The sequence below is a fragment of the Homo sapiens genome, chromosome 13 (assembly GCF_000001405.40).
Source record: "Homo sapiens chromosome 13, GRCh38.p14 Primary Assembly".
NCBI lineage: Eukaryota > Metazoa > Chordata > Mammalia > Primates > Hominidae > Homo > Homo sapiens.
This window is the reverse complement of record NC_000013.11, coordinates 44713427-44724448: the sequence shown is the minus strand read 5'-3', so window position 1 is coordinate 44724448 and position 11022 is coordinate 44713427. Positions and strand designations below refer to the sequence as shown.

The 11022-nt window shown below is 40.4% G+C and overlaps 1 long non-coding RNA gene across 1 annotated transcript in view, besides 2 other annotated features; it reads left to right on the top strand.

The window, feature by feature from the left end:
- The first annotated feature begins 271 nt into the window (after positions 1 to 271).
- The window catches only part of LOC105370185 (uncharacterized), a 39691-nt gene continuing 28940 nt past the window's right edge, over positions 272 to 11022 (top strand). Inside the window, exons 1-2 of the long non-coding RNA XR_941929.4 lie at positions 272 to 346; positions 8451 to 8754. This is a non-coding gene — a long non-coding RNA (uncharacterized LOC105370185). The remainder of the gene's footprint in view (positions 347 to 8450; positions 8755 to 11022) is intronic.
- Positions 9451 to 9976: an enhancer, noted in NCBI's record as "H3K27ac-H3K4me1 hESC enhancer chr13:45288609-45289134 (GRCh37/hg19 assembly coordinates)". NCBI's record gives its function as "activates a minimal SCP1, AML or CMV promoter by ChIP-STARR-seq in primed H9 embryonic stem cells {active_cell/tissue: H9 hESC(primed)}" and the evidence as "EXISTENCE:reporter gene assay evidence [ECO:0000049][PMID:30033119]".
- Positions 9977 to 10502: an enhancer, noted in NCBI's record as "H3K27ac-H3K4me1 hESC enhancer chr13:45288083-45288608 (GRCh37/hg19 assembly coordinates)". NCBI's record gives its function as "activates a minimal SCP1, AML or CMV promoter by ChIP-STARR-seq in naive and primed H9 embryonic stem cells {active_cell/tissue: H9 hESC(naive and primed)}" and the evidence as "EXISTENCE:reporter gene assay evidence [ECO:0000049][PMID:30033119]".

Genomic DNA, 11022 nt, shown 5'->3' with positions numbered 1-11022 from the left:
GCACTGTGACAGTAGCTCCAAATTTCCTGCCCTCAATCACTCAAGGTATACTCAGAAAGTGAACAATTATGAAGTCCAGTGTCAGATGACATTCTAGAATCTGATGAAACACCAAAAAGAAGATTTAGTTCCTACCTTCAAGCTTCTTATGGTGAACGGGTTAAGCCTTTCAGGTCATTGGAGTTTGACTATCTTGTAAAAAGAAAAAGAGCATAATTTTGAAATAGGATGTGTCTATGTGCGAAGCTTCCAGAAGGGATTTTGGAGAGTCGGGGAACTGCCTGAATGTTACTGAAGGCCTGAAGTCAAGGAGAGGGCTCCAGTATGTGAAGTAGAAATAAAAAAGGTGAGCACTCAAGAGAATGCTTGCCTTCTTACGACTTTTATTAGGGCTCTTTTTTATATATAATTTTCAACAACTATAGTCAGTATCAGATAATCACGAGTTATGGGAATCTAAACATGAAAACACTGATCATCACATAAAGTATATGTGAATGAATCAGGTAGACCCAAACTTGGGAAACCAAGGGTTTGACTCTCTCTTGCTTTAGAGATCCAGCAGGTGCCAGGAAACAAAATAGGAAAAGAAGCCTGCTGCTAATGTGACCAAAGTGAAGTTCCAGCATGATTAATTTTTTTTTTTTTTTTGAGATGGAGTCTTGCTCTTGTTGCCCAGGCTGGAGTGCAATGGTGCAATCTCAGCTCACCTCAACCTCCACCCTTGGGTTCAAGCCATTCTCCTGCCTCAGCCTCCCAATTAGCTGGGAATACAGGCATGTACCACCACACCTGGCTAGTTTTGTATTTTTAGTAGAGATGGGTTTCTCCATGTTGGCCAGGCTGGTCTTGAACTCCCGACCTCAGGTGATCTGCCCACCTTGGACTTCCAAAGTGCTGGGATTACAGGTGTGAGCCACCATGCTCGGCCTCTAGCATGATTAATTTTTATTTTACCATCAAACTTGGTAAGGAACTGTAGAATCACTAGGGAAAGTTATAGAAAATAAACAAACATTTTTCCAGCCACAAACATTCATTATAGGGGATCGGAAGACTTCTGCTTCTGGCCATGATAGAGTAATGGGGGATGGATTTACCCTCCTGTCTTAAAATACTAAAAAACTAGACAAAATATATGAAACAGTAGTTTTCAGATGTTAGACAACAGGCAGCACAGAAATATGATCCAAGAGGAAGGGAAAATAAAGAGGTGAACCCTATGATTGCCCCAGCTTGCTACCTGGAGGCAATTTCCAGATTGCAGTATAGGGAGGAAGAAATAGCACAGCAGTCTCATTGAGATGAGGAGCAAGAGATCCAGGCCAAGGGAGGTCAAAGTCACTAGAACGTATGGGTCTATGCACTAGAAAGGAGGGAGATGCAGGGGAAGACAGGGAGAAAAAGAGAGCACTCCAGAGATCTATAAAGGAGCCACTTTGAAGCTTTGGCTGATGGCTGATTCATGTATACACAAGAGGAAACTATCTAAGGGGAAACCATCACCCAAAAGCAGCAAGCTGAACAATTCCTGGGGCTTACACAGGGCTAGGAATAGTTTGTGTTCCCACCAGTCAGAGTAGAAAGACCTCCTAGAGTCCTCAGAGGGGGACTCTTCTTATGTAGTCCCACCTTACTAGTGGGACTAAATAAGCCCTAGACTAAAAGCCACTCTGAACTCACCATTAAAATGCTTGAAAAGGAAAGGATCCAATAGATTCCAAGTAACTTAATTTTGTACCAGCATAAAGCTCAACACTATTTAAAAGAAAATAACAAAATCCAGCAACCAACAATGTAGAATCACAATGCCAGGTATCCTGTCAAAAATTACCAGGCATACAAAAAAACAGGAAAACATTGCTTATAACCAAAAGAAAAAGTAATCAATAGAAACAGTCCCAGAAATTATGGAAATAATGAATTAGCAGACAAGAACATGAAAATATCTATTTTAAATACACTCCTATCTATAAGAAAGTAAATAAAAACATGAACATGGTGAAAAGATAAATTAATGATACTTTTTTTTTTTGAGACGGAGTTTCGCTCTTGTTGCCCAGGCTGGAGTGCAATGGCATGATCTTGGCTCACCGCAACCTCCGCCTCCCAGGTTCAAGCGATTCTTCTGCCTCAGCCTCCCTAGTAGCTGGGATTACAGGCATGTGCCACCCCAGGCCCAGCTAATTTTGTATTTTTAGTAGAGACAGGGTTTCTCCCTGTTTGTCAGGCTGGTCTTGAACTCCCGACCTCAGGTGATCCGCCTGCCTTGGCCTCCCAAAGTGCTGGGATTACAGGTGTGAGCCACCATGCCCAGCCAAATTGATGATACTTTTAAAAGACTCAGATAAAACACATAAAGATGAAAAATGCAGTATCTTAATTGAAAAATACTGCATGGGATTAATAGTTAATCAGATATTGCAGAAGAAAAGGTAAGTGAAGTTGAAGAAATAATGAAGCACAGAAAAAAGACTAAAAAAAATGAATAGAGCATTAGTGACTTGTGGACTTTACATATATAACCTAGATGAACACATGTGTATAATTAAAGTGCCAAGAAAATGATGTGAGGGGGGAGATAAAATATTTGAAAAAATAATAAATAAAAGTGTTCCAATTTTGAAGAAAACTATAAATTGAAGATTCAAGGGGCTCAACAAATGCCAAGCAGAATAAACATTAAGAAAATCATGCCAAGGCACACCATAGCCCAATTGTTGAAAACCAGTGTCAAAAAAATTTTTTAAAACAGCCAGTGAAAAGGGGACATCTTATTTACATAAGAACAACAGCCAAAACCAATGGCAGCAGATTTCTTGACAGCAACTACATAACCCAGAAGACAATGAGACAATATCTTTAAAGTAATGAAACAGAAGCTGTAAATCTAGGATTTTATACCCAGCAAAAAATGTTTCAAAAATAAAAGTGAACTGCTAGGCGCAGTGGCTCATGCCTGTAATCCCAGCACTTTGGGAGGTTGAGGTGAGTGAATCATAAGGTCAGAAGTTCAAGACAAACCTGGCCAAGATGGTGAAACCCTGTCTCTACTAAAAATACAAAAATTAGCTGGACGCAGTGGTGGGTGCCTGTAATCCCAGTTACTTGGGATGCTGAGGCAGGAGAATCCCTTGAACCTGGGAGGCAGAGATTGCAGTGAACCGAGATCATGCCACCGCACTCTAGCCTGGGCCACAGAGCAAGAGTCCATCTGAAAATAATAATAATAATAATAATAATAATAATAATAAAAGTTAAATTAAAACTTTTCAAACAAAAGCTGAAAGAACTCATCACTAGCCATCTGCACAACAAGAAAGAAAACAGAAGTTTTCAGGCAGGATACAGCACAAGAAAAGGATCTATACAAATGACTGAAGAGTGCCAGAAATGATAAATATATAAATGACTTCTTTAAGACATCATCAACTAATTAAAGTGAAAATAATCACAGTATATTGCAGGATTCATAACATATATTGAAGCAAAATGTATCACAATAGCATAAAGACAAGAAGGAAGAAATAGAAGTATACTTCTATTTAAATACTGCACTGTACTTAAAGTAGAAAAATATTTGAAGTTAAACTGTTATAAATTAAAGTGCAATTATGTACAAATACAAATAGACATTACAAAATATGTTACACAGATCAAATCCTGTTAAAACAAACTCCAAAGTCTTATTTCAATAATTTTATCTTTCTCAAATTTGTGTCTTTTATTCTGGCTTTAATTAGTTATAATGGCACTGTAATTTCAAAATTTAACCTGTCCCTATAGTTCAACATCTGCTCTTCTTTTATTAAATGTTGCCAAATAACAGCAGAGGATGTATTTTCAGCATCATGCTTGTCTCACCAAGCTAAATTTGGTACTGTGGAATTTGTTGGTGAGGACAAATGATATGAGAATTCCTATGCTTGAAGCAATGCTGGCTTTGGGCCATTTCTATTTAAATGATGGGTTTGGAACAAATTGTGTTTACAGACTGATTCTGCCACTTACAAACTGTACTATTTTCTATTTGGGGAAATATCTAAGGTCTGTGACGTGGAGGTCCTATATGTTGATATAGCAAAGAAAAGAATGGAGCACCTCCTTATTCATTTTGGAATGAGTAAGATTTTTGGAAACCACATTGGAAAATTTGCTTCCTTAATAAAGTGCCATTCTTGTCAGATGAGTAGAAAAGAATACTGACCTCATTTATTTTTCCATCAATGCATCTCTCTATTCAGGGCTAAAAGTGGGGCATATTTGGAATTGTTAGCTTCAAACAAGCTCTGTAACTTAGGGGGTAAATAATTTCATGGTGGTATAACATGCCAAGTGGTAGTGAATAGCTTAGAGAAGTAAGGCATATAGTTAATGAGTACCTCTACATAGAGGCCCAGGCCTGGCTTGCGGTAAAAACTGGCTGCTTTGCAGTAAGAAAAGCCAGCTTTGCGCAAAGCTGGCTGACTTTGTGGTAAAAACAAGTAGGGAATTCAGGAGATCCAAGGAATGTCCCAGTTCTGCCATTTGCCAGACCTCAAGCAAGACCATTTAACCTCCCTGGACCTTAATGTCTGCAGTGGGCCAAGGCAGTGTTTCCCTAAGTAGAGTGCATGCCACTGGTGGTACATCAATATTTTTTTCTTTTTAATATATATTAATGTATTTTAGAAAATATAACTATATAAGAAAATCTAACTATATTCCACCCATAATTTTATTAATGTTATTGATTAGGATGAGTTTAAAATATAAAAATCAAGTCAATATAAAGACTACTACAGTTTGAATATCCCTAGTCCCAAATCCAGAATCTGAAATGCTGGAAAATCCAAAACCTTTTTTTTTAGATGGAGTCTTGCTATGTTGCCCAGGCTGATCTGGAACTCCTGGCCTCAAGCAATCCTCCCACCTCTGCCTCCAAAGTAGCTGGATGCATCACCGTGTCCAGCTCAAAATCCAAAACTTTTTAGGACTGACATGATATTCAAAGGAAAGGCTCACTGGAGCATTTCACATTTCAGATTTTTAAATTAGGGATACTTAATTGGTGAGTATATAAGTAAATATTCCAAAATTCGAAAAACTCCAAAATCTAAAACACTTTTGATCCCAAGCATTTTATTTTTTAATAAAAAAAAATTTTTTGGGGACTGAGTTTTGCTCTTGTTGCCCAGGCTGGAGCGCAATGGCGTGATCTCAGCTCACTGCAACCTCTGCCTCCCGGGTTCAAGCAATTCTTCTGCCTCAGCCTCCCTAGTAGCTGGGACTACAGGCATGCGCCACTACATCTGGTTAATTTTGTGTTTTTAGTAGAGATGGGGTTTCACCATGTTAGTCAGGCTGGTCTCGAACTCCTGACCTCAGGTGATCCACCTGCCTCAGCCTCCCAAAGTGCTGGGATTACAGGTGTGAGCCACCATGCCTGGCCCCAAGCATTTTATATAAGGGATATTCAACCTGTATTAGGTAAAGGCCAGAAAATAATAGGATAGGAGGAAAAAAACTGAAAGGATTTTCAGTTTAAAACCACTAAAATGTGGGTTCAGAAGGATGTTTTTAAAAGCATACACAACAGTACATAATTTTCACATAATAGTACAAATAAAATGAGAAATACCATGGCAACAATTTTAGAAACATTGAACGGACATGGGATAACTTACCTGGAAGATGCAGGAAATCTCAACCATCAGCCAGCAGTGGGGGAAGCTGAGAAGCAACTTAATTTGCATCCAGAACCTCTGGAAGGCCCAGGAATTTGTTGCACCCATTGTCTGTGGAATCAGATGCGGAGGAGGTAAAGTCGAAAACAATTCCAGTTGAAAGTCATCGTAAGAAGCAGTGGGACATCCTCTGTCATTCCACACAGCCAGAAACCTGCCTCTCCTCAGAAGATCCCAGAAGAGAATTCTTCTAAAAGATCAAACTATAAGGCTACCAATGGCATGAAGATTGAGAGATTTATGCAACTAGGGGAAAGTTTGTACATACATTAGTGATAAGTGTACTTAAAAATCTTAAACGAAGGCTGAGAGTGGTGGCTCAAGCCTGTAATCCCAGCATTTTGGGAGACCGAGGCGAGAGGATCACCTGAGGTTGAGAGTTCGAGACCAGCCTGACTAACATGGAGAAACCACATCTCTACTAAAAATACAAAATTAGCCGGGCATGGTGGCGCATGCCTGTAATCCCAACTACTTGGGAGACTGAGGCAGGAGAATCACTTGAACTCAAGAGGTGGAAGTTGCGGTGAGCCAAGATTGCGCCATTGCACTCCAGCCTGGGCAACAAGAGCGAAACTCCGTCTCAAAAAAATAAAAAATAAAAATAAATAAATAAATAAATAAATAAGCTTAAACAAACTATTATTTATATTATTATTTATTCTATAAAGGGTTTTCCAAGAAAAATAAATAGCTGTGTAGAAAAAGAAATCAGTTCACTATGCTGTTCAGCTGTCAATAGTATCTTTAAAGTACAGAATACTAACAAAAGACTGATTTTACCAAAATATCTATATTGGAAGAATGGGGAAGGATAGGAAATAATAGAGGGGGAAAAGGGATTTAGGTCAGAAATATTGAAATAAAGCTTAATCTGAATCTTCCACAGCAGGAAGTCAATAGATAATGCTAAAACTTGAAAAATCAAGTACAAATATCAAGACTTCTGTTTAAAGGGAAGAATTGGAGGTAAATATGAAGATAATAATTTAGTGGCCAGGCATGGTGGCTCACGCCTGTAATCCCAGTACTTTCGGAAGCAGGGCAGACGGATGACCTGAGGTCAGGAGTTCGAGACCAGCCTGCCAATATGGTAAAACTGGTATCTACTAAAAATACAAAAATTAACTGGGCATGGTGGTGCACATCTATAATTCCAGCTACTCGGGAGGCTGAGGTAGGAAAATCGCTTGAACCTGGGAGGCAGCGGTTGCAGTGAGCCGGGATCCTGCCACTGCACTCCAGCCTGGGCAATAGGGCAAGACTCTGTCTCAGGAAAAAAAAAAAAAAAAAAACAAGGAGCAAGAAAAGAAAATAATAATGTAGCAGCATTGAAAGCCGTAACTTCAAGGAATGGAGGACAGGCTTTCTTTTTTTGTAACAAATATTGTAAAACTATTTCATCATTAATTATATGAAATTGATACTTTAAAAAAATTCCATTAAAAAAGTTATGAAGATGGTATGCAAATAAGTGAACTTGGGAAAATACTAACCAGGAAGTCTTTTAAGTTCTGACAGCCAGTGAATTGATTTAAAGAAACACTGAGTTACCACTCTCCATTGCCATTTGTTTGTTGTCATGATACCCAGACAGCTTAAGTCACATGCATGTTACACGCATTTATTATTTATTTTATTTTTTCTTATTTTTATTTTTAATCTAGTTAGTTTTTGTTGCTGTTGTTGTTGTTTTGAGACAGGGTCTCAGTTTGTCCTGCAAGCTGGAGTGCAGTGGCATGATCTCAACTCACCGCAGCCTCCACCTCCCAGGTTCAAGCGATTCTCCTGCCTCAGCCTCCGGGGTAGCTGGAACTACAGGCATGTGCCACGGCACCTGGCCAATTTTTGTATTTTTAGTAGAGACGGGGCAGGGTGTGTTACCATGTTGGCCAGACTGGCCTTGAACTCCTAGTCTCAAGTGATCAATTCACCTGGGCCTCCCAAAGTGCTGGGATTACAGGCATGAGCCACAGAGCATGGCACATTTATTATTTAAATCACAGTGGATTATTTGGGGGAAGGTGGTGTAGAGAATTATAAAATGGAGACATTACAGGGTTTCATAAACCAAGGCTAGAAGCTACCTGGGACACTTAAAAAATTTTAAACTCAGGCTGGGCACAGTGGTTAATGCCTGTAATCCCAGCACTTTGGGAGGCCGAGGCAGGCAGAACAAGAGGTCAGGAGTTCGAGACCAGTCTGGCCAACGTAGTGAAACACCGTGTCTACTAAAAATACAAAAATTAGCCGAGTGTGGTGGCACACACCTGTAGTCCCACCTACTCAGGAGGCTGAGGCAGGAGAATCGTTTGAACCCAGCAGACGGAGATTGCAGTGAGCTGAGACCGCACCATTGCACTCCAGCCTGGATGAGAGAGCAAGACTCCGTCTCAAAAAAATTTAAGAACTCATTTATAAAGGTATATTTATACATTTTTGCCTAGTAAAATATTACCTCCCTCCTCCTTTTTTAAAGTTAAAGATAATCTCTGGAATGGCTGGGACTAGGATATAAGATTTTAATAGTTTCATTTCCTGCTATTTGTTAAGTTAATTGAAAATATAACAGGCATAGATATGATCTACTATTCAATGGAATAAAGAGTGTAAAATACCAGGTACTAAACGAACAACTGCTATCTTGTCCCTTGCCCAACCCTGTGGGAAAGGAGATTAGCTGGCAGTCGCCCAAATTATAACTGATCGTTTCTTGGGTTCCAGGAACATGGTTGGGATGTGAAGAGCTCCTTTAACATGGCACAGAGTCTGGTGACTGGAAGGTCTAGAAGTATATCAGAGGAAAGGAAAAATTAATGGATAATGACCAGATTTTACATCCACCTAATGGCTTGGAATGTTCCAGTGCCAAGAGAAGGCCTTCTTGTCGCATGTGATTTCATAATAATTAGGGCCAGCTGTGTCTGTGCGAATCAGGTCAAGCCAGATGCCAAACCCTAACTCAAACACTTACAGGAAGATCCTCATTGCCAGGAGCCTCAAACGTCCTGCAGAAAATCAAAAAAAGGTAAGTTATTCGATCTGTTCCCAGTCTGCCAAAATATTTTTTCTCCTGGGTACTGCTAACCTCTATGGTCTTCGCTTGTGCTTCATATCCGAAGATAATTCTACCGATATTACATTGTGTGTACATGGAAGAATGTTTTTTAAAAGCTTCATTAACAACTTTTCCATTCTGCTGGGATTTGTTCTTGGATCACTGCCCTTACCATGGGCCAAACCAACTCACCCATAATTCAGATATTTGTTGGCTAATAAAGATGAACTGTGCCAGCCTGTCTCTGAATTGGAGAGGAAACGGGGAACTGGGTGATGGGGAAGGAGGGAGATTTTTACTATATGCTCTGTTATAACTTTTAAATTTCAGTGAAACCATGTGCAAGAGTTTCCTATTGCAAAAAGTAAGTACTGTTTACTTTTTTTTTGTTTGTTTGTTTTTGCCTTTGCTGCAGAAATTGTAGTTGACGTGAATTACACTCCAGAGAATTGGAGGCTTCTTTTTCTCCAGGTCATTTCAATCATGTTTTTTGTTGTTGTTGAATTGTAAACTTCATGGAGCATTTTAAATGGCAGGTCCTGTCCAGGCACGGTGGCTCATGCTTGTAATCCCAGCACTTTGGGAGGCCGAGGCGGGTGGATCACCTGAGGTCATAAGTTCTAGAGCAGCCTGGCCAACTTGGTGAAATCCTGTCTACTAAAAATACAAAACTTAGCTGGGCGTGGTGGCACATGCCTATAGTTCCAGCCACTCGGGAGGATGAGGCAGGAGAATAGCTTGAACAAGGGAGGCAGAGGCTGCAGTGAGCAAGATCACTCTACTACACTCCAGCCTGGGTGACAGAGGGAGACTATCTCAAAAATAAATAAATAAATAAATAAATAAATAAATAAATAAATGGCAGCTCCTTTCATCTCTTGTTGCTTTGAATTCTACTTCAGGACTGCTTTTTTTTTCTTTTTTTTCTTTTTTTTCTTTTTTTTTTTTTGAGATGTAGTCTCGCACTCTCCCCCAGGCTGGAGTGCAGTGGCGCGATCTCGGCTCACTGCAACCTCTGCCTCCCAAGTTCACGCCATTCTCCTGCCTCAGCCTCCCGAGTAGCTGGGACTACAGGCACCCACCACCATGCCCGGCTAATTCAGAACTGCTTTTTTAAAGCTACAGCTTGAAGAGACTCCCATTAAAGCCATACAGCCTTCAGCTTCAGTAGCATTAAAGTAACCCAGATCTAGAGTGGTGCTGGCGGTGTACATGGGCCCAGGGCTCCCTGTTTCACTTAGGCTGGCCTGCTCTTTCCCCTGGCCTCTGTTTCCAGTAGTCACTTTGTTGCAGCTGAAAAGGAGATGGAACAAGAGCCACAGCCCTCACTGCTATTTGCGATGGTGACTAACTTGGGGCTAAATGTTGAATTCACTGCATTCCAGAAGTTGACTCACTTCCATCCAAAACCCTCGGGCTGGGGTTGGAATTCAGCTCAGGCTCTCCAAGGGGCTGCTCTGTGAGCTGTGGTCTAGGATAACCTTGTCTGGGTCAGCCCAGGCTTGTTCTTCATCTTGGGGTCCAGGTTCCAGCTTGCTCTGGAGCAAATTGATAGAAATGGTTTAGATGTCCTGAGATATGAAAGAGAATCCAGAGAGGAAGGTTCTGAGTGGATCTGAGACTCATCTGGGTTACTTGATCAGTAATAGCTCCAACAAAGTTGCCTCCTCCATCTGTCCTGGGACTGACCTTGTCAAAGCTACAGCAGAAAACAGGCTGTCTTCAGAAGTTCAGGGAGCTCACATTTAATTTGAATCCCTGCTTTGGTTATCATCAACCACACTTCTGGATTCTCTCAATTCTTGTAGCAAAAATATTTTTCTTAAAGGCATTTTAGCCCTTTTACTGAATAATTCAACAAAGTGCAATGGAACTCATACCGTCAACTCCTACGTTTCTCCTGTTTGGGGGAAACTTACATAGTTGACCTTTGAACAACACAGGGGTTAGGGGCCCCAACCCCATGTGAAGTTGAAAATAACTTTTGAGTCCCCCAAAACCTTACTAACAGCCTACTGTTGCCTGGAAGCCTTATGTGTAACAAAAAGTCAATTAACACATATTTTATATGTTATATGTATTATATACTGTTTTTTTTTTTTTTTTTTGAGACAGAGTTTTGCTCTGTTGCCCAGGCTGGAGTGCAATGGTGTGATCTTGGGTCACCGCAACCTCTGCTTCCCAGATTCAAGCGATTCTCCTACCTCAGCCTCCCAAGTAGCTGGGATTACAGGCATG